General features: G+C 37.6%; 1 protein-coding gene across 2 annotated transcripts in view; it reads left to right on the plus strand.

The window, feature by feature from the left end:
- Positions 1-27,732, plus strand: part of CNTNAP2 (contactin associated protein 2) — a 2,304,198-nt gene that overhangs the window by 1,522,984 nt on the left and 753,482 nt on the right. The window contains exon 14 of one of the 2 annotated variants that reach the window (XM_017011950.3): positions 3,603-8,094. The exons of the other annotated variant lie outside the window; for it this stretch is intronic. Coding sequence (XP_016867439.1) covers positions 3,603-3,649 — 47 coding nt within the window. The 3' untranslated portion in view covers positions 3,650-8,094. Of the gene's footprint in view, positions 1-3,602; positions 8,095-27,732 lie in introns of those variants that run through there. 2 annotated transcript variants of the gene reach the window in all.

Raw genomic sequence — 27,732 nt, forward strand, 5'->3', positions numbered from 1 at the left:
TTTGTTTTCATGATGGCCAACTTTTAGCATGTGCTAGTGTGTGTGTGAGTGTGCACATGCAAACACACATACATGTGTGCAAGACTGTGTCCGGGTGTAGAGAACAGAGAGATTCCAAAAGATATACTGGAAATAACTTTACTGCAACAAGTTCCATATGCTCTGGGAGTCTTGGCAGTAAATTCGAGATGTTGTCAGAAAACTGCATCTCTGTGTCTGTAGTAAAACACAGTGGAAATAAGTCAAAGAAACATGAGCTCATAATTTCCAACCTTACCACTTCCCAAGTATGTGACTTTGGTGGAGTGAGTTGACCTCTTTTTAAAATTTTACCTTAATTGACAAAATTGTATATGTCTTTCGTGTACAATATGATATGATATATATATATATATAGTGCAATGGCTAAATCAAACTAACATATGCCTTGCCTCATACATTTATTATTTTTTGTGAAGCAAATACTTAAAATCCATGCTTAGCAGTTTTCGAGATATAATAAATACATTGCTATTAACCGTAGTCACCATGTTATACAATAGACCTTTTGATATTAAGCCTCAGTTTCCAGCGACTTTTTCTGTCAAGGAGAAATTATAATGCCTACTTCAGGGTGATTGGGAGAATTTCATAAGGTAATATACTAGGTACTTATAAGACTTGATACACTTAAGGACATGATAAGTAGCAAGTAGTATATTGATTTTTTAAAATCATGTTAAGCAACTTTGTGCTATGTCAGAGACCAATGGGCTGTTGGATGCCCCAAAACAGCAATGAATTGAAAGCAATGTTGTAGGGAGCAGTTTACAGAGAAGAGTTATAAGCAAACAGTGATAAGGCTCCGATGACTGAAGGAACACCAAGGTTCTTAATCTCACGCAGAACTGGATAAAACGACATGGACATACGTGGAGTGGTTTTAAGGAGAGGAGAGTTTAACAGGCAAGAAAGAAGGAAGGAGGAAAAAAACAGCTCCCTCATACAGAGACAGAGAGAGGAAGGGATTCCAATGAGAGAAAACCCTGTGTGTGGTGGTAAAGTGGCTGCTTATATGAGGAGGCTGGAGGAGGTGGTACCTGACTTGCATAGGGCTCAGGGAATTGGTTTGACCGGGCACGTTATTCACGTAGCCCAGGGGGAAAACTGGCCCTCCCACCCTAGCCTTTTAATATGCAAAGGCAGGGCGCCATGATGCTCTACCCACATGGAGATATGTGGGGGCGGCCATGTTGCCAGGCACATGTGAGGGCAAGGAAGAACAGGGCAGGAATCGCCATGTTTGGGTGGACCCAGTTTCTAATGGCCGGTATTTGCACATCAAAGCTTGCCGGCCTGGCTCTAAGAGCGGGGGCTTTCCTGCTAGACAAGAAACATTTTGGAGCTGCTTTAAAAGACCCCTTTTCCCCTCTATGTGTCTAAAATAATTTCTTAATAATTTCTTAATAACTTCTATAACGATAGTACACAATATTGTGAAAATGTGAGTGCTTTCTATGTGCAAAGCCTTGTGCTAGAATTATAGACAGAGTACCCTCTAAGAAATAAGGTTGGAAAGGAGGGTGGGAGTAAACTGGGAAGGAAAGTAAATGCTGTGCTGTGGAGTTGGGACTTCATCCAGAGGGCCAGTACTTCTCAGACTTTAGTGGGCATTACAATACCTGGTGAGATAATAAAACCTGCTTTGCTGGGCTCCATTTCCTGAGTTTCTGATTCAGTAGGTCTCAGGTGGTGCTTGAGAATTTGCATTTATAATGAGTGCTATGGACTGAATTATGTTCCCCCAAATTCCTGTGTTAAACCCCTAACACCCAATGTGACTATATTTGGAGATTTGGCTTTCAGTAAGTAATTAAGATTAAATGAGGTAGATCATAATGGTGGGGTCCTAGTCCAATAGGATTGGTGGCCTCAGGAGAAGAAACAGAGCTCTGTCATGTGAGGGCATAGCAAAAAGGCAGCCACCTGTAAGCCAGGAAGAGAGCCCTCACCAGAAACAGAATCAGCCAAAACCTTGATCTTTCACTTCCCAGCCTCCAGAACTGTGAGAAAATAAATTTCTGTCATTGAAGCCACTCAATCTATGGTATTTTGTTATGGAAGCCTGAGCAGATGAATACAATGGGGTTCCAAGTGATGCTGATATTCCTGCTCTAGAGACCATGCTGAGAACCAGCACAACTCTTTTTTCTGTTCACTTTCACTTATCATAGGTGTGTGTGTGTGCGTGTGTGTGTGTGTGTGTGTTTTAACTGGATTCTGTTTCCAGTGCCAGGAAAAGTCAAAGACTGTATGTAGAAGACCAAGGGCAATAAGAGCCACTAATGAACCTCATCAGCTTGTCTTCACTGTTTCATGAGCGGCTGCTCCTTATTGAAGCCCTTTTCACAGATTCCAGTTAATTAGTCTTCAGTCCTGGGGTAGGGGTGGAGGTGGGGACAAATTCCTGACCAGCAAAAGAACCTTGGTACTCTCAGCTTTATGTTCTTTATTTTCTTTCTTTCTTGTATTAAACTCCAAAGTCAGCTTTCAGTTTTTGAATTTTGCTCTGGTAATTAAAAAACACAGTATGGCTTCCAAATATGTTCAACTTACGGTTGAGGTACCAGGAGAATTAGACTAGAGGTGGGAAAATAGTTCACCTTTAGTGCTCCTGGTCTTGCAGTTCAGCATCTTTCTTTCCCCCTCATTGACATTCCTTGTCTCTTCCCCTCGGCCACCGTGAAGCCTCACACACATAACCACTCTCCTTTACAAAACATAAAATGTACAAAACATCAGGAAAAATGGGATAAACTTGTTATTAAGCACTCTGTTAGTTGCATTTCCTAATAATGAGATGAAGACATTTTTCTTTAACCTCTAGATACCCCTTTCACGAGAAAAACTGCTAAATTGAAATCAAGAGTAAACTTTTAATCTGAACAGTAAATATATCACTTTCTTTGTATTTCTAGACATCTAGACACTGGGTTTCCCATCATTTGTAGATTATTATTGTACATAATAAATAATACTTCAAAAATCAGTTTCTCATAAGCTTCTTGCCTGTTTGGACATTCTATATATATATCAAATCTTTGGTTCACATAGGATTTGTACTTAACAAATGTTTGCTGATTCAAATGAAATGAATAATATATAGCTTTAAGTGTTACCTCACCCAACCTTGGGGCAGTGGTTTAAGCAGGAGTGTGCATCAAAATTTTTAGGTTGCTTGTCAAAATGTGGATTGAATGGCCTTACTCCCAGGCTTTGATAGAGCTTGGTTGGGGCCTCAGAATATTTGCTTTTAACAAACACCCATGGGTAATTCTGTGAATCACACATTGAGAAACACTGTCTTTAATTTATGGCATGAAGGTTTCTCATGTTGGAATTTAAGGTGTTAGTCCTTCATGTGGGAGAAGATTAAAGGGAATATTAGGGCTTGTCTGACCCATTGAAATAAAATGGCATACATAGTTACCTCCTTCAGCTAAAATAAATTGGCATAATAAAAATTTTAAATCCTTCTGATATACCAGTCTCTAAATATCGTAAAGTGAATTTCAGCTTACCCTTCTGAGTCATTTTTTACACTCCCAATTTTCATTTTCCAGGCCTACTAATCTGCAGAATAGCTGACGCAAGGAAAAGGAGTGGTTGAGACAGCAAGTTCCTTGTATTGTTATATTTTGCATATGTCAAAACAAGAAAGAACACAATTTAATAAAAATCTTTAATTTGTGTTTTAAAGAAGCTAATGTTTACTGTAATTGATTTTTTTTTCCTCCTTCATGGTAACATTCAATTTTAAATATCCATTTACTTATTCTTAACTAAGACTGAAATTATATTAGAACTTCTGTAGTAGTACTTGTGACATCTGTTCAAATACAAAGTATATTCATTATAGTGATTGCAATTAAAATGAATATCAAATGAGTTTGTAATAGCTTTGCGCTTAAAATGTTATTTTTTATTTTAAGAGCTTTACGCTCAAGAGTTCATTTGGGGCTCTATAGTTTCTAATGATACTTATGATAAAGAGTTGATATTCATATGGACCTCATTTTTATTTTGATAAATATTCTTTTATACCATACCATTAGCTAGTAAATGTAAAATTACCCATTATTAGTATCTTCCAATTTTTACAAGGATAGTAATACATGCCTTGTAATGTGCTCTCTTTTATTACTACAAAACTTAAAAATGGAAACAAATTAAAAATAATGATTTTGCCAGTATTTATGGTCATGTCCATTCTCGCAATGTAACTGTTACTTCAGTTGTCCTCAGCTTTACAAAATACACAGAAATGGAAAAATAAAAAGTTATTTTATTTTACGTAGAAAAGCCTGCTTAGAATGAGGCATACCAATTTGGGAATCACCAAATTAGTTCTACCCAAACAGAGAAAAATCATTAATGGTCATCCAAATGGATGTCTACATGATTTATATTTATATCCCCGGATTTGTAAATGTAATATTACCTTAACTTATGAAGGGCTAAATTAGTGAACAGTGAAATCTACTTCTCAAATAAGTACCATAAGAACTTGAATTTGGCCGGGTGGGGTGGTTCAGGCCTGTAATCCCAGCACTTTGGGAGGCCAAGGCAGGTGGATCACTTGAAGTCAGGAGTTCAAGACCAGCCTGGCCAACATGGTGAAAACCCGTCTCTACTAAAAATACAGAAAATTAGCTGGGTGTGGTGGCATGCACCTGTAATCCCAGCTACTTGAGAGGCTGACACAGGAAAATCACTTGAACTCGGGAGGCAGAGGTTGCAGTGAGCTGGTATCATGCCACTGCACTCCAACCTGGGCGATAGAGCGAGACTCTGTCGCAAAACAAACAAACAAAACAAAACAAATCTTGAATTAGATAAATCAAGCACTGAGGGAGTTCCCTTAGAGCCTACTTGAGTAGTCTTAGTCAACAATACTAATACTTTTAGATAACCAAAATGTTTCTCTGTATTTGGACAAGAACTATTATGCTGCCATTAAAATGTTTATTTGTGTATCTTACATACATTGTAGTCATATATTTATTTTACAAATCATATTACACTTTCTAGTTAAGAATTTTTTTGCTGAAGTATTGATTCCTTACATATATATTTATTTAATTGTAGAGATAAAAAGTTATCTTCCCTATTTTTCTGGCTATATTTAGCCCTGTTTTGTTGGTTTCCAGTGTTTTTCCTCTTTTAATTTTTCAGTGTTGGCTAGTTTTCATGAATGATACTTTTTACTGCTTCTTTTGTTGAAAGAAGCAATATAAATTATATATATTTTTGGATAGTTTACTATTAGATTTTGTATCTATTGAAATTGAATTATGCTTACAATTTTTGCCTATAAAGTAAGCTGTGTAAAATTCAGCATACTTTATGATACTAAACTGTGATTTAGTGGCTTTGAAAAGACAAGAAAACATGACTCTGGCATTGTAACATATAATCTATTTTTAGCAAGAAATTCTAAACTTTGGTGCGGCTATCAAGCAAATGAATTTCAAGTTATGCTGTGCATTATAAGAAGCTGCAGCATTTAACTCTTAAGACGACATGGATAAATCAATTCCAATAAAAGATTTTTCAGTAAATAAAATTTATTGTGACTAATCAGTGTATTAATCAGAAGATTATTTACTTAATTATTATACCCACTCATTGTATTAAAATTGGGTGATATAATTAAATGAGACAAGCAACGAGGATAGTAATAACTAAAGGGTAAAATTAGAAAATTGTATCGAGTAATGTTTCATACTCAGACAACTAGCATCTGCATGATGGGCACTGTAATTGAAGGGGACAGAGGGATTGCAGGGAGAAGAGTAAGCAACTATTTCAACAATATGGATAGGAGTTGATGAGAACCTCAACTGGAATAATGAGTAGGAGAATAAGTCAACAAATATTTTTTAGTTTTGCCTGTGTATCAGGAAGTGTGACATATAAGCTGATATGGGAAAGATTCATATGAGTTAACTAAGAAAAAAATGAGAGAAGGATTCTGGGTTAGCGATGTCAGCATATTCAATGATTCAGAGATGGAGATCAAGAGACACTAATTTGAAGGAAGTGAGAGGCGTCAGAATGGCTGGAGTAGTGAACTTGAAGGTGGGAGAGGCAGAAAAATGGAAACCGGAAATTAATTCAGAGTCTCTACCTAATGTTGAGGATTTTATTTGAATGGCAAACAGAATGATTTCAAGTAGGGAAGTTCTGGCTGTTCCATGGATACTGGAGTGGAGGAAGCAGAGGTGGTGGGAAGAGTCTGTCCGCACCAGAGTGCACATGGACTGCATGTCTGGGAGGCCAGCTGGGACTTGAGAGAAAGTTTGTTGTTGTTGTTGTTGCTGTTATTGTTTTTAAGTTTAGATGCTGGAATCAACAGGAGTTGTGATTACTTATATATACAGGAGGAAGAAAATTCAAGGGTGACTCAAGTTTCTGACTTGAAAAACTGGCCAACAGTTCTAAGGCTTACCTTGTTTATTAAGAAAAAACTGGAGAATTGGTGGTCACTTAGCTTTAACATGCAAAGTGATGGCACTAGGAATACAGGTTTTTATGTGATCTGTGATGGCTGATGGCATAGTGTAAAATCCTTTTAACTGACATCAAAAGATTAATGAATTAAATTTTTTCTTCCTTGAAATTTTCTTAAACATACTCTACAACTAAAATAAAATGGAAGAACTAAGAGTATCATCAGAATCCTAATGTTTTCCATTCTTGTATTTATATTGAAAGATCAGAAAACATATAGTCAAGACTGACCTATCTCAATTATGTACCAATTTTTTTTTTCCTCATGCAAAGCCTCCTGTATTGCTTCAGCTTCCTGGGCTGCCTTGGTTTCATGGCACCTGCATGATGTCTGAAGCAAGGGAGGAGCAGGCTGCAAACCTAAGCGCAGACAATTAAATACTCCTGCAAGGAAGTAACACGTTGTGTGTGTGTACATTTTATGGACCAAAGCAAGTCACATGTTTTGCTGGGCCTAACTTTAGAAGAGGACAAAGTACAATCTTCCCATGTACTCAGGAGCAAAGATCACGTGGACTTATTGAATAGTTGTAATGCCTTCTTAAGATGACTCAGAGAGGTAATGGGAGGAGAAAGAAAAGAACGCAGAAGAAAAGAAAAATACTAATTTTGTTTATTTGTTTGTGGATGGAATGTTATTATGTTCACTTTTTTTTTTTTTTTGAGACGGAATCTCACTCTGTCACCAGGCTGGAGTGCAGTGGCATGATCTAGGCTCACTGCAACCTCAGCCTCCTGGGTTCAAGTGATTCGTGATTCTCCTGCCTCAGCCTCCTGAGTAGCTGGGACTACAGGCGCATGCTGCCACGCCCAGCTAATTTTTTTTCTTTTTTTTTTGTATTTTAGTAGAGACAGGGTTTCACCATGTTGCCCAGACTGGTCTAGAACTCCTGAGCTCAGGCAATCTGCCCGCCTTGGCCTCCCAAAGTGTTAGGATTACAGGCGTGAGCCACCGCGCCCGGCCAGTTCACTTTTTTTTTTTTAACGAGGGTCAGAGATAAAGAGAGACTCCACTCAAAGGCCAATTTCAATGTAAGAGGACACCCTTCTTTTACAGATTAACTGGTAAGCAAAAAAATAAAATAAAAAATAAAAATACTGGTACTACAATTATTTGCTTCCTTATGAAACTTTCTACAATTCTTACCCACGGTGATCACCATTTTTTCTGAATTTCTGTTTCACTTAGGGCCTAACCTCTATCACTTAGCAGTTGATTATGGGCTATTCATGGCTTTTCTTGCTCTTCATTGTTTTCTGGTGTTTTAATGGGCTCTTTCTTACAATAACACAAGGTCTTTGAGGACAGGGGCCATATCTTAGTATCTTCCATCATGCCCAGCTTCTAGACATCTACCTAGATAGTGAATAAATTAGAAAAACACTAATTTTAAAAGGGGACTAAAGAAGAGGATGCAGCTAGCTAAAGGAACTGAAAAGTTATTAAACAGTAGGAAGAAAGAATCAGATTAGGAAAGTCCTATAATTGGGAAGCTAAGGGAGATGGGTATTTAACAATAAACAGGCAAGCAAGTAAAAAAATAAGCAAAAGCAAGAAAATTGAGGTATGGTGAATGGTGAGACATCCTAGAGAGGAAGCCATCCCCTGTCATTATCTGTTGGGAGGCTGCTGGAGTTTCATGTCAGTGGAGTTTGGTGGATTGAGCCACTGAAGACTGCATGGGGAAAGGAAAGAGCAGGGGTAAGTTTTCAAAAGGTTGATGGTACGAGGATGGCTACATGTAGAAAAGCTGCTTAATCAGATGACAAAGCAAGAGTAGGGGTTTAAAAATGTTTGATATTTTTAGGGATGAGGAGTTGTAAGTAAATTTATAAACTGAGAAGGAGACATTGGAGAGGTTCAGATTAAAGATGTAAGACAGAAAAGGAATAATAGGTCCCAGGAGAGAAAGAAGAGTGTAGAATTTGCTTTGGTAAAGAACAAGGACACCTGTTTCAAGAAGGGAGCTAAAGACAAGGGCAGAAGTTCTCATTAAATGTCTTGAACAATACCATTCTAGACATTTATCTCATTTAACTCTCAAAGTTACGCAAAGTAGATTTTATTATCTCTGTTTTGCAAAATAGGACTCAGAGGAATAAACTTACTGAAGGCTACCATATTAGTTCATTTTCACGCTGCTGATAAAGACATACCTGAGACTGGGCAATTTACAAAAGAAAGAGTTTTAATGGACTCACAGTTCCACATGGCTGAGGAGGCCTCACAATCATGATGGAAAGTGAAAGACATGTCTCACATGGCGGCAGACAAGAGAGCTTGCTCAGAGAAACTCGCCTTTATAAAACCATCAGATCTTGTGAGACTTATTCACTATCATGAGAGTAGCACAGGAAAGACCTGCCCCCGTGATTCAATTACCTCCCACCAGGTCCCTCCCACAACACGTGGGAATTGTGGGAGCTACAGTTCAAGATGAGATTTGGGTGTGGACACAGCCAAACCATATCAGCCATCATTGCTGGAAGTGGAAAAACTGAGTTTCAAATGTATATCTATCCTATTAAAAACCTTTCTGACACACTGAAGAAACTGTGAACATGGAGAAGTCAATGCTTGGCCACCAAAGTGAGTATAGAACTAATCCCGGCAGGAATTGTACCCACCCTCATCTCTTCAACCACTATGAAAGAACGTTTTCCCTCTTGTCATTTTCTTTTTTGTGTGCATGATTAGAAATGCTATTTACCAAGTGACCTTTGGTCAGTTCCAGTATTTCTGATTAATAAATTAATCTTAAGGTAAATTTTATTAAGGGTAGCTCGAGTTGTACTAAAAGGGTACTGCTAGTGCCTTTCAAGTGGCAGACTTGAGCTTTGAGGTGAGACTTTGATTTTGTATGTAGCTTAGTCTTTAAAATAACAAATATAAGGATGAAATGGAAACTCTGTGAGGTTATCCAGTCACTCTGTAGAGCTTGAAAATCTGCCTTCTCATGTCTTTCTGTTTAAGGTAGACTCTAACCTTTTGATTCTGAAAAGCCATGTTCAAATAAATACTTATTCTAGTATAGAATAATCATAAAGCAAAGTGAAAATGCAAAGACTGCATGAGAATTATGGGTTTCATGTTTATTTCTCCTTGTAGTTATCTGGCTATATGTTTTCTTAAGTTTTCAGACGGGATACCACACTGCTGTTAATCTTTTTTAAACAAAGATTATATATTAAAATGAGAGCAACTTAGAAATTACACCAAAGCTGAATTTTCTTTGAAGATGATCACATCTTAATGAACGGATTTGTCCTAATTTATGAGAAGTATGAGTTTATAGAGTTGCATTTAAACTAAACTTCAATATATTAAAAGACCATAAAGCCAAGTTTTTAAAATTTGCATTTTAGTTTATTATATTATAAAAGATTGTAAAAATGAAGAAACGGCTATTATCCAATTCAAAAAATTAAAAAACTACTTTTGGACTATTTTTCAAAATTCCATACTACTTACTCTGCCATTCTGAATAAAAAAAGGGATAATCATAAAAAGTCTTCTAAAAAGATTGGATAGATAAAAAAAAATGTACTTTAAACTTTGTGAAGGATAAAATAATGTAACAAAATTTAAGGAGAAAATTTTTAAAAAGTACTGACAATTTTATTATTTATCTTTATGAATATTACTCTCTAGTTTTTGCTTCCATCTGTACATACTTTCACAGAAACAAAACTGGAATGAAGTTAATCTGATAGTCTTTTCTACTGACATTAAATCGTAATTTTTTCCAGTTCATATATTTTCCTTAAAATTATCCACTTTAATTACATCGTAAAATGAAGATAAACTTAATTCATCACCTGATAAACCTAATCGTAAATTATTTTTGAAAATACCTCCCCTAAACAAGATACTGAAAAAAAGCATCAGAGTTTTACAATAAACTTCTCTTGGAAATACCTAAAGTATTACTAAGATATTGCTCAGTTATTCATTCTGCAAACATTTATTGAGTATAAAATATTTAGCTGGGTGCTATGAGAATACAATGAGGGTAAAAATAATACAGTTGACCCTTCAACAACATGAGTTTAAACTGTGAGGGTCTGCTTACATGTGGATTTCTTCTGTCTCTACCACCTCTGAGACAGCAAGACCAACCCCTCCTCTTCCTCCTCCTCCTCAGCCTACTCAACATGAAGATATGAGGATGAAGACTTTTATAATGACCCACTTATGCTTCATGATTAGTAAACGTATGTTCTCTTCCTTTTAATTTTCTTAATAACATTTTCTTTTCTCTAGCTTACTTTATTGTAAGGATACAGAATATAATATATATAACATATAAAATGTGTGTTAATTGGCTGTTTATGTTATCTGTAAGGTTTCTAGTCAACAGTAGGCTATTGGTAGTTAAGTTTGTGGGGAGTCAAAGATGTAGGTCAATTTTTACTGCACAGGGGGTTGGTGCCCCAACCCCTGAGTTGTTTACTGGACTTTTAAATAGCATTTGCCTTAAAATATAGAGTGAAATTTTTTTTATGATGACAATAAAATCATTTTGTATAAGACTTATAAATACTGAAAAAATCTTAACTAGTATGTCCATCATGGATAAAAGACTGAATAAATTTAGAATTCATAATGACTTCCAAACATTTTGATATGTGTATTTTGCATTAGGTAATTCTGCCTCCCCTGTTTGAAGAGGTTATATTTGGAGGAAAGATGAGGAAGGCTTAGGAATGGGAGAAAATAGGGTCTCAGAGTACTATTAGCTGGGATATCAGTTCAGGTTCAACCGGAGAAACAGAACAAGTAGAAGATATATTTAGAGATTTATTGCAAGGAATTGGCTTATGCAACAGCGGGGCCTGGCAAGGCAAGTCGGAAGCTGGGGCACACTATCAGGAAGGAAAGGCTGGAACTGCCAGACACAAACTGAAGCTGATGTCCACAGGAGGTAGTTCTTCTTCAAGGAAGTCTCAGCTCTATTCTTAAGGCCTTTCAACTGATTGAATCAGGCCCATCCAGATTATCTAGAATATGCTCTTTTACTTAAACTGTAATTACATTTACAAAATGCCTATGCAGCAACACCTGGAAGAGTGTTTTTTTGAATAACTGGACCCCGTAGCTAAGTTGACAGATAAAACCGACCATCACAGTCAACAAAGATGACTTTTAATATGAACTACTGATAAATCTATTTCTAGAATAGCAATGATTTATTCCCTCATTTGTATCACATATGCCTCTCTAGGTCAGCATAGTCAGGTGAGATCCACCTATTACAGGTATGGAGGGATCTTCCATTGTCCTATCTTTTCATTTCTAATGAAGATACAGTTTGGTTGAGTGTCAAATTGCCAAACAAAGTTAGAACAATGGCAATTTGAGAGAATCAAGTAGATCAACTCAGGGAGATAAGTCAAAAGACAAAGACTCCTTTTCTCTGTGTTGTTTCAGAAAAGTTGGCTCAGAAAAGATGGCTTCATTCCACATTTTAATGAATATGGCATGTGTCCATTAACTCCTCATTCTCTTATCTAAAGGGAAGCACCTCCATTGAGCCAAATACAAACATCCTCTTTCTACAACCTTCGGAAAGCTGCAATGTAGCCCTATCTTGCCATCAACATTCCTCTGCAATGTTTTCTAACTTACAGTTGAATCAAGTTCCACTACCATGCATCATAAAGGTAATGTTAAAGATGCTCAGAGAAATACGGTTGAAGAAACTCATCCTTACAGAAGCACCTATGAATAAAATAATCCATAAATTTTATTTCAGAGACTGTATCTTTCCCGAGCTAGTATTTTCCCACCAATGAATGATAAGACTTCTCTGAAATACTAGTAACACTGATGGAAGTTGGATTCTATTACCTATTGTTTGCTTACAATTTACCAACACCAGTGGCTGGGTAAATAGTTTTTATAGGACAATGAATAATGTTGCAGAGTGTTAGCTGACTAGGAATGCCACAGCCATTATGACCTTCATCCCGTATCTTAAAATCTCTATAAAAACATGCTCAGGTATTTTTTCTCTCTTGGTATTGGACCTGAAATTCAGGCTTAAAAATATATTGTCATCTATATATCTAGATAACTAATGCTTAATAATTATCTCCAAATTAGATCATGATATAAATGAAGGGAGAGGAAATAGCAGTAGTATTTATTAAAGGTTCACCTGGGCATTTTATATATATTGGCTCATTCCGCCCCAAATCTCTGTGAGTTGTATATCGGAATTTCTATTTTATATCTGAGGAAACATAACTTTAGAAGGGTTAATTAATTCACCCAAGGAAAAACAGTAAATACCGTGCTGAGAGTCCAAACCAAGATTAAAATCTAGGTTTATGTACCTCTAGACTCTATATATTTTCTACCTCAAGAAGTTAGAAAGGAAGGAAGGGGGGAAGAAAGGAAAGAGAAAGAAAGGAAGGGAGGGAAAGGAAGGAAGAAAGAGAATGAGGCAACCTAATAAGTTAATCAGTTGGGGAATTTTTAATTTCTTATATTGAAACATTAATATGGGCTTCCAGCATAGTTAAAGACCCAAACTTTATTTTTTTGTTGTTTTGTTAAGTAGTAGGCCAAAAGAGACATTTATAAGAGCTGCACAAACTTCTTTCTGAAAAATCCTACCTTTTTATGTTTTTTCAATATCCACTATTGGCCCTGACAAGTATATTAAAAAATATGGTTTATATAACAATTTGTTTGAAATGATATTGAAAAACATTTGATGTGAAAGAAACGAAAAAAACATGCCTCTCTCTACAGAGCATTTGACTTTCATGTTTTTAATATCAAGGTATTTCAAATAGAACATATGAATTGTATATTGATTAAATAGAAAAATGCTGTAAAAGGTTATCCCCTTCTTTTCAGACATAAGATATGGAAACGAAATGTTGATGTTTTCTTTCTTTCTTCTTCTTCTTCTTTTTTTGATCTTTTCAGAAGAAACTCTTATGTCTAAGCCTAACACAAGTGACACATCCAGTGTTTCATTCTTACCTTATAAATTTGCTTTTGATAGAGTTCTCCGAGATCCTGTTAAAACGAGAAAGATCAGAAATCACCAGCTTGGCAGAGCCCGGTGGGCAGCACCTGGGGGGATGAACAGCAGGACACTGATACAGACATGAAATTCAACTATCAGAGATATTGAGACTTACTCCATTAGGGTAGGGACTTGCTTCCTGTCAAAAACAAACAAACAAAAATATGAAATCACCCTCAGTTCGATTTTGTAAGTAGGAGGGAGAGCAGACTAGAGGAAGAGGCACTAGGGGAGGAACCACGCTGAGGAGCAGAAAGGAGGGCACTGGGTGTATAAGCAGAGGGGAGGGAGGTCCTGCGCAGGAAGGCAAGGCCCTGGTGGACAGCAACAGCAACTAGAACAAACAGTCCACTCTGCAGGTCTGTTCAGCCAGCCTGTTGGCTATATTTAGTATTTCATAAATTTTATAAACTCATGTTACTTTAGTTGGCTCAAATGTTAAAATCAATTAATCTTTCTCTTTAGAAGGCAGATATTTAAGCCTACCTAGAAACCAAACATATTTTATTTTGTTTTTATTTCAAAATCTCAAAATGGTGAGGTAATCAAGGCAGCAAAATTAAGAGGATCAACATTATGAGACGTTGAAGTATACCAAAAGAAGCTTAATATGTAAACGAGGACAAACAGGTTTCTGCTCCATTAATCACAGTTATAAATTTGCATAAAGAGAACTGGGAGAACAATTTATAAGGTTCTAATGTAAATATAAGAAATCTTAATGAAATGGTATCAACCAAAGCCGAGAAAAAGTGTGTACCTCCTAAATGCTGGTTATGCTACATAGGTCTCTTAGATTTTCACAAATGACTTGAATTTTGGAATAACTAGACAAATGTTCTCCAAACTAATAAAAGATGGCCAAAAGGTAGATTAATATAGTAAAAAATTATAATATACTTTTTTGGCATCGGAATGTTCTAAAATAATTGTTTAAATATAGGTGTTAGCAATATCCAAAAATATATTCTAAACCTGATGACGAAGGTATAAGATAATCAATGGCAATGATTTGTCTCCTCCTTCTATCCCTGAGCAATTTCTTATTCTTTTTCCTTCCAGTCTGGGAATAAACCACTTTCTTTGTTTAGCCATAAGAAACAACTCATCCATTAAAGTTTTATCATGAGATTGCAGCAATTCAGTTACATCTTCAGACTCCATTTCTAATGCTAATTCTTTTGTTATTTCTATTACATTCGCAGTGACTTGCTCCACTGAAGTTTTGAACCTCTCAAACTCACTCATGATGTTTGGAATCAACTTCTTTCAAACTCCTTTTATTGCTAATATGTTGATTTCCTCCCATGAATGTTTTTAATGGCTTCTAGGATGGCAAATCCTTACCAGGAGGTTTTCAATGTAGTTTACTCAGATCCATCAAAGAAATCACTATCCATGGCAGCTATAGCCTAGCAAAATATATTTCTTTTTTTTTTTTTTTTTTTTTTTGAGACTGAGTCTCACTCTGTCGCCCAGGCTGGAGTGCAGTGGTGTGATCTTGGCTCACTGCTGCAACCTCCACCTCCCAGGATCAAGCAATTCTCCTGCCTCAGCCTCCCAAATAGCTGGGATTACAGGTGCCCGTCACCATGCCCGGCTAATTTTTGTATTTTTAGTAGAGACAGGGTTTCACCATGTTGGCCAGGCTGATCTCTTCTGACCTCAGGTGATCCACCCGCCTGGGCCTCCCAAAGTGCTGGGATTACAGACGTGAGCTACCATGCCTGGCCCATATTTCTTTTTCTTTTTTCTTTTTTCAAGGCAGAGTCTCACTCTGTCACCCAGGCTGGAGTGCAGTGGCACAATCTTGGCTCACTGCATCCTCCGCCTCCTGGATTCAAGCAATTCTCCTGCCTCAGCCTCCTGAGTAGCTGGGATTACAGACACATGCCACCACGCTTAGCTAATGTTTGTATTTTTATTAGAGATGGGGTTTTATCGTGTTTGCCATGCTGGTCTCGAACTCCTGACCTCAGGTGATCCGCCCATCTTGGCCTCCCAAAGTGCTGGGATTACAGGCGTGAGCCACCGCGCCCAGCCTATTTTTTAAATAATATAACTTGAAAGTCAAAATTACTCCTTTGTCCATGGGCAATAGAATTCATGTTGTATTAGCAGGCATGAAAAAACATTAATCTTGTTCATCTCCATGAGGGCTCTTGCCTAACCAGGTGCATTGTCAATGAGCAGTAATATTTTGAAAGGAATATTTATTATTTTTTCTGGGCAGTAACTCTCAATGGGCTTAAAGTATTCAGTAAACCTGTTAAAGTTGTAAACAGATGTGCTGTCCTCCAAGCTTTGTTGTTCCATTTCTAGAGCACAGGCAGTGTAGAGTTAACAGAACTCTTAAGGATCCTAGGATTTTTGCAAAAGTAAATGAGCACTGGCTTCATCTTCAAGTAACCTGCTGCATTAGCCCCTAATAAGGGGCTGTCCTTTGAAGGTTTGAAGCCAAGCGTTCACTTTTCCTCTTTAGCTGTGAGTGTCCTAGATGGCATCCTCTTCCAATAGAAAGATGTTTCATCTAGATTGAAAATCTGTTGTTTAGTGTAGCCACCTTCATCAATTACCTTAGCTGGAACTTCTAGGTAACTTGCTGTAGCTTCTATATCAGCATTTGCTGTTTCACTTTGCACTCTCACATTACGAAGAAGGCTTCTTTCCTAAATCTCATGAACCAACCTCTGGTAGCTTCAAATTTTTCTTCTGCAGACTTCTCACCTTTCTGAGCCTTCATATAACTGAAGAGAGTTAGGGCCTTGCTCTGGATTAGGCTATGGCTTAAGGGAATGTTGTGGTTGGTTCTATGCAGACCACTAAAACTTTCTCCATATCAGCAATAAAGCTGTTTCACTTTTCTATCTTTCATCTGTTCACTGGAGTAGCACTTTCAATTGCCTTTGAGAATCTTTTCTTTGCATTCACAACTTTGCTAGCTGTTTGGCGCAAGAGGGTTAGCTTCCAGCCTATCTTGGCTTTCGACATGTCTTCCTCACTAAGCTTAATGATGTCTAGCTTTTGATTTAAATTGAGCGATGTGTGACTTTCTTTCACTCGAATACTTAGAGGCCATCTTATGGTTATGAACAGGGCTAATTTCAATATTATTTTGTCTCAAGGAATAAGAAGGCCTGAGGAGAAGGCAAAAGATGAGGGATCAGCTGGTCAGTAGAGCAGTCAGAACTCACATAATTATCAATTAAGTTTGTCATCTTCTATGGGCACAGTTAATGGCACTCCAAAACAATGACAATAGTAACGTCAAAGATCACTGATCACAGATCACCATAACAGATGTAATAATAATGAAAAATTTTAAATTTTGAAAGAATTACCAGAGTGTGACAGAGAGACACAAAGTGAGAGCATGCCATTGAAAAAACAAACAACAACAAAAAAACCCGATGCCAATAGATTTACTCGAAGCAGGGTTGCCACAAGCCTTCAATTTATAATAAAGCATATGATCTGTGAAGCACAATGAAATGAGAATGCCTGTGTATATCTGAAGTCACCCAATGGAGGATGTATCAGTGCCTATGTCTCTGTGTGGGAACATAACATGATGTGTCTGTGTGTGTGGTTTAAATATATAAATAACACACACACACTCACAAACACACACTCGTGGTTTCAAAAAGAAACTACTCAAGCACAATTCTTCTACTCAAAATGTCCCTGAAGTGAGACATTTAGCTCTGATGAACTTCTATACTATGTGGGGCAGACTTCTTGAAAATAACAATACACAGAGCTTATTTGAAAAGCAAACAAATCAGATTACTTATATGCTATAGGTGTTTGCTATTAAATTTGAAAATAACATATGTGGGGAGAATAATCAGGCTGTAGGTAACTAAAAGTTGACTGTCATCACTAAATTAACTACAAGTGAATCCAAGATTAAAAGTGACAGAGGCAGAAAAAAATAAAAATGAAGTGTAATGTCATACAGCTGAAACCAGAGTAATTTACCAAGAGCAGATACAAATTCAATGGGAGGGGTTGGCTTCGGTGAAATATGGGAGATAAAGATCTAAGGTAACATAGACTAAATGTAAATTTTAAAAAATGATCTGAGGTGAGAATGTTGTGGAAATATGTAACCAATATTTTTAAGAACTGTTTTTTTCCATCAATTCAACATTGCTGTTATCCTGTTTCTAGTTTCACCTTAATATAGAAACAAAGCAATTCCAGTAAGATATATAAAATATGTGCAGGCATGATTCAGAGGAATAGAAAAAAGAATGAATAATTTGAGGAGGAAAAATATAATTGGGGTTATATATGTAGGATAAAGGTATATAAAACAAGCCCTTAAAAATAATGTTAACTGCCTTGAAAATGTTATTTTTAATGAGAAAGTAGATTAATGAAGACATTGGCCTTCACTTGTATTAGAAAGGATTTAGCAGAGATTTTATCTGAAGCAACTTCTTAGCATAGTGTAAATGAAATATTTGCCTGAGTATCGGGTTTAGAAGTTTCACTGAAAGGAAAAGAAACTTGACTTGCTGCCTCAAATTCTAGTAGCTGAAATTATATGAGGTGAAGTTTCCAACGCTGTCTCTTAAGATAGCCGACCTGGCCGGGCGCGGTGGCTCACGCCTGTAATCCCAGCACTTTGGGAGGCCGAGGCGGGCGGATCACGAGGTCAGGAGATCGAGACCATCCCGGCAAAAATGGTGAAACCCCGTCTCTACTAAAAAATACAAAAAATTAGCCGGGCGTAGTGGCGGGCGCCTGTGGTCCCAGCTACTTGGGAGGCTGAGGCAGGAGAATGGCGTGAACCCGGGAGGCGGAGCTTGCAGTGAGCCGAGATCCCGCCACTGCACTCCAGCCTGGGAGACAGAGCGAGACTCCGTCCCAAAAAAAAAAAAAAAAAAAGATAGCCGACCTTACCTTAATGAATTTTCCACAAACCTAAGTCAGATTCTTTGGGCAAAACTTGACTTATCCACAGACTCTAGTTCAATCACAAGCATAATCACAGTCTGTGAGACTGAAATCCATAATCAAAATGCCATTAAATTAACTTAAAACAAGAAGACTAACTGCTAAAGGGAGAGGAGGGTCTGGCCACCACACTGTGTGGGTAAGGTATATGGAGAGCCAAATTGTAAACTAGGATGCCAGTGTATTAATTTGTAATGAAAAAGTGTATTGCTGAAAGGACTGGACACTTCTGTTCTCTACCCCGCCAAATCTCCCCCTGCAGGGCTACCAGATGGGAAGCCAAATTAAAATCAGATGCTTGCTTCTTGGGCTTGGAATTGGAACAAGAGGAGTAAATGATAGGATTGCAAGTTCAGGGTAACAGGTCATCTTTGGACTGTGGAGCCCTTTCTCCTAGGCTGCCGATGGCTATGCACAAACTTGATCTTGTTTACTGTGCTTTCCCCTCCAGCTTCCCACTGACCCTTTGTTTTTTCTATAGTTCTGTTAATGTACTCAATCAGGCTACAGTGGGGTCTTGCTGGCCTGGGAGCTATTTAGTTCTCTTTGTGGTAATTTTGTTCCCATCTTTCCACTGAGTGTTGATATTTTAGTTTAACTCACAAGGCACAATCTTATTTTTGGAACTCTTCAGGGAGGCCCCCCTCAACCCAGCACTGACGATGTAAGACAACAGAGATGATTGCTTAAATGTTTTCCAATCCTACATCTCTGTGGCAAAAAGTTTTTTAACACTATATTATGGCACACAGATAACTGAATTTCCTTTCCAAAGAGTAGAAAAGACAAAGGAAAGGAAAATCTGGGTGGACTCAGAAGATGTGGCCTCTATAAAACTAAATCCTCAATCTTTTCTCATTTCTAAGAAGGGGAAAAATGATGATGATTGAGATGTTGGAATTCATTGTCAGGAAACTTGAATTTTTGCTCCCCATGGAGATCAAATGGAATATGCAGATGGAGTACTTTATTTCTTGGTAGCTTTTATAGATATTTTGATCATTTTCTTCATATTAGAGATTTCAATTTGAAATTGACTGTGAAGATATAGAAACACATGCTCAGCAGAAACGTCTTACGACATATTAAACCATTTTCTCCCTGGAAACTGTTGTGATAATAAATACTACCAACATAGAGGAAACCACTGGGGTGGATAAACCTTATTATCTATCTGTGCATTATTGTTAAAAATACTAAAATCAAGCCATGTGTGTTGCATGGAGTTCTACTGGAAAGCTATCATGTAATAATACAAAGGAAGATAAGAGAGAAGAAATACAAATGGGAGTGACTAGAGAGTAATACAATTAATTTATAGCCACATATATTAAATTTGTTTAATATTGACAGTAGATTTACCCCTGGGAAGGAGAAGAAGAAAACAGAATAGATTTTATTTTAAAGAACTCCTGAAACCTTACCGGATGTTGCCTAATGAGGTGATGTAACATAAAACATCACTCGATGCTGTATTTGCATACTGCCTTTTTCCCCTAAGAGATTGTTTTGAAAGAATAACAAAGAAACAGAAATGAGGTGGAAAACAAAATAACAAAGCATAAATATTTTCTCAGTGTTTGCAAATATTCATAATAATTTCCTATCCTCTGATTCATTAGTTCTCTCAAAAGCCCACCTGGATGTCCTCAGAATGCAAACTGATACTTAATTATTACATTGGGATCTAGATTCTTTATAGCTATGCCACTCGTGTGAAAAATATGCATATCTATTTAAGAGCTGTGCAAAGCAGTGGTGATGTGAGTTATGCCATTTTGCTCAACACAAGACAAACTCCTAAAAACAGCTTTAATGTAGACACAAACTGTTTTGATAAATAAAGCTAACTCTTAACAAGATTGTTCAGAGAAGACTGACTTTTTCAATGTATTCCTTTGTACCCTTTTCCTTTCAATGTAGAACCTTCTCTTCCTGCTGCTTCCTACAACCTTTTCCTCCTACAGTTTTCTGAGCAACTCCACTTATCCATAGAGAAAAAGATTTTGGCACTCTGATTTTCAGATTACTCTTAGCCCAAGGTCTACATATCTTTCCCTTCTTCCTCACCCTTCCCAATTTCACAGGAGACCCAGTGCTCCCTTGTCTCGCTTTAAATTCTTCCCTATAATAGGCCAGAAAGACTCTGACACCAGATGCATTGGATTTGTTTTCTAACTAAATTTTAGTATAAAAACATTTAAGTCTAGTGACATCACCTCGTGCGTATGGTTTTGCATTTAGTACCCTTCATATTCCATTTTGAAATTGGCCATTCACTCATTCATTCTCTGAACTGGTGCATATTGATCATCTGCTCTCTTTAAGGCACTAAGCTAACTTCTATGAGAGGTTAAAAAATAAGACCTGGTCCCTTAAGGCCAGTTAAAGACAAGGCCTATTAAAGATTTAATCTTCTACTAAAGACATTTCAAACAGCCTTTGCTTAAAGAGAAGTAAGATGGTAGGAGACTGGTTAGCCTCTGAAATCACATTATGCCTAATATTGGCCCTAAAAATATATTTTGTTGAGGTCTTTGTTAAGGGAGATATGGGGATATGGGGCAGATGAAATCACAGCATACTCTTCCTCTGTCAGAATTCTCATGCCCCCCTATTGCACACCCACCAACCCAACAAACACACACATTAAGATATAATTACTTATACCCAGACTTCTGTTTGCAAGGGGCTGCTGTCCTGCCTATGGCTATTGAAAACCTATTTCTCCATGATGTACCTATCTTTCCTGGGCCCTTTACCTATAATATGCACTTCCCTCCTCTTCCAGTCATGTAGTAGATATAATCCTCCAGTTAACCCAGCCCCTAACTTCAGTGTTTTATTTTGTCTCAAAAATCCAAATATTTCCATCGAATATTTGGTGTACTTTTTAGAGAATGCCGTGTCATTTTTTTTTGTAATTCTTCTTTTCTAAAATTCTTGAATTTTAATTTTAAGCGGTGCATTTTTATTTCTGAAAATCAAATTTGGCTAATGAAGTGTTTAGCCCAATCCAGTGAAGCTCAGCTCCCTCTTTGAGCCACAGTCTGTGCTGTCTAACGAACCTTCACTGAACTCATGGGTAGTACAATTTAGTAGTGGTATTTCAGTAGTACCTGTTGTATGCCTCGACAAGGCTTTGGAGAAAATTCCTCTGTTCTGATTTCCAAATTCAGCTCTTTTCTCTGCTAATTGCTTCTTCTTCTTCTTTTTTTTTTTTTTTTAGACGGAGTCTTGCTCTGTCACCCAGGCTGGAGTGCAGTGGCATGACCTCGGCTCACTACGACCCCTGCCTGCTGGGTTCAAGTGAGTCTCCTGCCACAGCCTCCTAAGTAGCTGGGATTACAGGTGTGTGCCACTACGCCTGGCTAATTTTTGTATTTTTAGTAGAGACGGGGTTTCACCATGTTGGTCAGGCTGTTCTTGAACTCCTGACCTCGTGATCTGCCCACCTCGGCCTCCCAAAGTGCTGGGATTATAGGCGTGAGCCACGGCGCCTGGCCCATTGCTTCTTGATATAAGTACTAGCTATTCTACAGCCTGCACCATGACGTAGCCCTACCTAGTAGAAACTTTGAGTTAGATTGCAGTCATCAAAGCCATTTGCCCTTCCTTTGTCTCTAATAAAATTACCAAGGACCTCTCCTTAAGTAGTCTATCATCCTAAACTCTCAGGAGATACCTCTGAGTCTTGGTTTTCTTTAAGGTTTGCAAGAAAGGCCAATCACTCCTTTCTTAGAACATTTAATACCACTTTTTAACTTATTTCCTATAATACCAAGATGGCACACATATTAATCAAAAACACAAACCCTCCCGATCTGACATAATGTAGATGCAACATTACACACTTTGCCCAGTAAGTACCCTCTCCACCTCAAGGATCCTTTGCCCTTTACAAACCATGTTTCAGGTTCTCCATCTCTATCACAGCCTGAAGGGCAATGTCCCAATGTATTCAGGAATCATTTAGACTATGATGGGATGGCACAGTCCCTACATCTGCTACCAAATCAAGGAGCTGATTAACAGTGCATTGCAGCTCTTGGCAAGAGTTAGAGTAGGAAATAAAATTAAGGTGTAGGGGTTAGGCAGGAAATTCAGATAAAACTACTTGGGAAATGTAGCTAAGCAAGATATAATTATCTAACTTATAATTAGACTAGAACATCAGGCCTCCCATCCCTAAAGGCTTCTTTTTGCAAAGAGACAAGTGATACCATCAGGTAGCAGATGGTATTCTTGTATGGGTGCGAGTGAGTGATGAACACTTCTTACCTTAAGAATTTGGTTGTAGGAATTATTCCTACTGGTGATAACTTGCTAGCTTAATAGTTCATTATTTCTGTGTCTTCCATTCCTTTGGGCTAGTACACTTATTAAATTAGAAAGGTGGGGTGGTCTGCAAAATTTCAGTGACATCTCTACAGGCTAGCTATTGGCCTCTGCCATTTGATCATCTCAAACTATCTAGCAAATTAATACAACCAACGAAAGCCGACAGACTACATTGATTTGAATATAACTCCAATTTTTTTATTGTATTTCTTAAAAGTTCTATGACATACTTTAGTTTGCAGAAAACAGAAAGTTACTTAGTTTTAGAGCGTGATTTTTTTTGTCTCACTGGATGTTTCTGGTTTGTTTGTTTGTTTGTTTGTTTGTTTTTGAGACCGAGTCTCGCTCTGTCGCCCAGGCTGGAGTGCAGTGGCGCGTTCTCGGCTCACTGCAACCTCCACTTCCCGGGTTCAAGTGATTCTCCTGCCTCAGCCTCCTGAGCAGCTGGGATTACAGGTGCCCACAACCACGCCCGGCTAATTTTTGTAATTTTCGTAGGGACGGGTTTCACCATTTTGGCCAGGCTGGTCTCCAACCCTTGACCTCGTGATCCACCCGCCTTGGCCTCCCAACGTGCTGGGATTACAGGCGTAAGCCACCGTGCCCAGCTGAATGTTTCTGTTTTAAAGATCCTTGCATGTGGCTCTGTATGTAACCCTGTCCTTGCAAAGTTGTTAGAAAAAGATAAATGAACTCCCATTGGTTTAAGGAATTGACTGTGAAGAGCGTGATGTAATCTAAAAATCAGAACACCAAAACTTGTTTCCTCTTTGGATAAGTAGAATTGGTCAAAGAACAGAGTTTATGACTTCTCTTCACATAAAAGATGACATTATCTATGATGAAAGACCTAGTTCTTGATTTTCTTCAGATTCCACATGGACATCTTACTTGCTAAAAGCAACGTGGCCAAACAATTTCTGCCTGTAGCAAATTGTTTTCAGTTATGTTTCCTCACGAAGTAGTATCCTGAAATTACCAGTTTGCATACTGTTTGCAATTATTACTACAAATGCAGTTTAGCTTTTGTGTAAATGAATGAATTTTTATTGTATATATTTAAGGTATAGAACATGATGTTTTCATATATACATACATAGTGAAATAATTACTGTAGTCCAGCAAATTAATATATCCACCACCTAATATTTAGCTTTTAAAGCCCTTTAATTTCTAAATGTGGAATTGGTTCATTTATTTACTTATTTATCCATTCTATAACTCATTAATTCTTTGTACCAACATTTGCTGAATATGTACTTTGTGTAAGTCACTTTGTTAAGCTCTCTGGAAAATAAAAACAAAGTTCAATTTTCTGTGTAGTAAAACGTGTTTAACCACAAGACATTAACAGAGTACTAAATTAATAGAAATTTTTCATGTCAACTAGTGCATTATTTTGTTATGGCTTCCATCACTAAGTACCATAGACTAGATGGCTTAAACAGCAGATACTGGTTTTCTCTCAGTTCTCCCAGTGTGACTATCAGGATTCTAATCCTGTTTTTGTATTTGTATTAAAAAGTGATAGAACGTATAGTCAAGACGGATGGATTAAATTGTTCATCTCGCCCCTAAGAATTAAGAGTTTTTGTTGGTGGTGGTTTGTTTGTTTCATCTCTGGCTGACAGGAAGAGTGAAGAAGAGAACGCTGTTTCCTCGTAGCCCCAAATAACATTTCACCTACTTCTAAAGCTGCTGTGAGGTATGCAAGGTCTTACATAAAGAGAAAAATCTGTCTCAAAAATCTGCCTCAAGATTGTGGAGTCTTGCTCTCCTTGCATTCTTTTGGTTTTTCTGCCACAATTTTGAGACTTATCCTAGGAATTCAGTTCAGCCTTTTTTTCGCCTTCAAAATAAGCACATTTGGCTGCTTATTTTGCAGCAGCCAAAACGAAGCATTCGGAGATGTTATTGTTGTTGTTCTTCTCTATCGGTCCAGTACAGTTCCTTTTCTTCTTTTATTCCTAGGAAATCTCTTTGAATCTACTCTGTAAATAGAAATGGCTTCCCACCACACAGTGAAAACCAAAATCCTTATCTTGACTTTACAGGGTCTTTCATGGTCTGGCCCTGCCTGTATCCGGCCTCCTCTCTCACTCTTCCTCTTGCTACGTGGCTAGAAGCAAGAAAACAGGGAATCTAATCTAGTTTTATCTGGCTCTAAACCCACTGCTCTTAATCAATACACTGCAATGCCCTTGTAAGTTATTTACCTCTCTCCCATACAGTACGTGCCAGGTGGCCCATAGTTCTAGCTCCTATCTCCAACCTGAAACCAATTATTTTCACAAAGTCACATTGATTAAAGTATAATATTTACAGAGGTATGTGTAAGAGTTGTAGATGCAAAGTTTGATTGCTTTTCACAAAGTAGATGCCACTGCATAACCAAAATCCAGACCAAATTTTTACCTGTGCCCCAATGAACCCCTTATAACCCTTTCTGAAACCTACCCCACCAAGTAACCACTATTCTGACTTCTGAAACTATAGGTGTATTTTCCTGTTTATGAAGTTTAACTCTTAATTTAAGAGTATTAGATATACTGTTTTGTGTCTAGCCTGTTTTGCTTAATATTAAATTTGACAGATTCACCTATGCAGAAGATAGTATAGTTCATTCTCATTACTGTGTATGTGAGTATATTACAAATTGTCTCCTATTTTACCGTAGATGGATATTTGGGTTGCTTCTAGTTTGGAAGAAATTCAAATACTGCCACTAGAAACATTCTTGAATATGTCTTGTGGTGAATATATATTCTTTTCCTTCCTCTTATTTTTAAACTTCTATTTTAAGTTTAGGGATACAAGGGCAGAGGTTTGCTACATAGGTAACTTGTGCCATGGGTTTGTTGTACAGATTATTTCATCACCGAGGTATTTCATCACCTTAGTACCCATTAGTTATTTTTCCTGATCCTCTCCCTCCTCCCATCCTCCACCCTCTGAGAGGCCCCAGTGTGTGTTTCCCTCTGTCTGTCCATGTGTTCACATCATTTAGCTCCCACTTATAAGTGAGAACATGCAGTATTTGGTTTTCTGTTCCTGTGTTAGTTTGCTAAGAATAATGGCCTCCAGCTCCATTCATGTTCCTACAGAGGACATGACCTCATTCTTTTGTACGGCTGCATAGTATTCCATGGTGTATATGTACCACATTTTCCTTAGTCAGTCTATTATTGATGGGCATTTAGGTTGATTCCATGTCTTTGTGTATTCTAACAGTTTACATCACTATCAGCAGAGGATGAGAATATTAGAGTTCTCATTACTCTGTATGCTTCTCAGCACTTAATAGTGTATCTATATCATTTGAGCCATTCTCATGAGTATGTCATAACACTACCTCTTTTTATAGACCTTATTTTTCCTTAAAGTAACTAATTTATTTTAGCTGTAGGACGAAAGCAGAAAACTCAGACAAAAGAGAAATATTACCTTTAGCAAAACAATCAGAAATGAGATATCAAAAATCACCCGAAATATACTACCTAAAGAAGACTAATAACATTTCCAGCGTTAGTCGGTTAGACCTTTCCTTTGTTTGTGCTTTCAAGTACAGTCATGTGCTGCATAACAACATTTCGGTCAACTACAAGGCACACGTGTGACGGTGGTCTCAGGAGACTACAATGGAACTGAAAAATTCTTAACACCTAGTGATGTCCCAGCTGTCGTAGCTGTAGCCCACCACATTACTCATGTGTGTGTGGTGATGCTGGTGTAAACAAACCCACTGTGCTTCCAGTCATATAAAAGCATATCACATACAATTACAAGCAGTATATAATGCTTGATAATGAAAATCAACTATGTTACTGGTTTATGTATTTACTATGCTATACTTTAATTGTTATTTTAAGGTGTATTCCTTGTACTTCTTTTTAGGTTTGCTGTAAAACCGTATTCAGTGTTATGCCAGCAGCAGCCTCATACATCCCATGTTTACTGTGTCTCTTGACTGTATCATGTTCTTTTGTGCTTAATTTAATTACACATTATTTTATTCATCACGGTCCTTAATCATCAAAATTCATGGCTAATGTGTCAGAAAGAGGCCCTGTCCTGTGATTGACCTGAAAGCTAAATTAAAAGTGAATAAGAGGTACAAAGATGGAAAATCAGTAATGGTTATTGCTCACCAGTCAGGTCTGTCCCATTCCACCATAGCCATGATCTCAAAGAATGAGAACAAAATGATGGAAGCTGAAAAGATCTTCTTCATTGAAGGCAATGAGACTAACAACAGTTCAGGAAGAGCCTATATCAGATATGGAGAAACTTCTAATGACCTGGAATGAAGACCAGTCACAGAAGTGAATTCCTCCCAGCACCATGATGATCACAGCCAAGCAAGAAGTTTGTTCGCAATGTTGAAAGAAAAGGCTGGACCCAACTACAATGTTGAATTTACTGCTAGCTCTGGGTGGTTTAAATGATTCAAGAACTGTTTTTCATTACGTTATGTGAAAGTAAGTGGTGAGTCTGCAAGTGCTGATGTGAAGACAGCTGAAGAATTTCTGAAAACTCTAGTTTTCAGTTGATTAGTGATAAGTTGATTGTGAGGGGGAATTACTTGTCAGAGCAAATCTTCAGTATGAAGGAAACCTCTGTATTCTGGAAACCAATGCCTTAAAGCACTATTATCCCTAAGGGGGCCAAGTCAATGCTGGATGTCAGGTTTTTAAGGACAGAATAACCATCTCACTTTGGAGAAATGTTGCAGGCTACAAATAGAAACTTTTAATGATATGGCACAGTGACGACCCCAGGGTCTCCAAGCATATCACTAAACACGCACTGCTGGTAAACTAGAGGAGCCATA

This window comes from Homo sapiens, chromosome 7, assembly GCF_000001405.40.
Source record: "Homo sapiens chromosome 7, GRCh38.p14 Primary Assembly".
Lineage (NCBI taxonomy): Eukaryota > Metazoa > Chordata > Mammalia > Primates > Hominidae > Homo > Homo sapiens.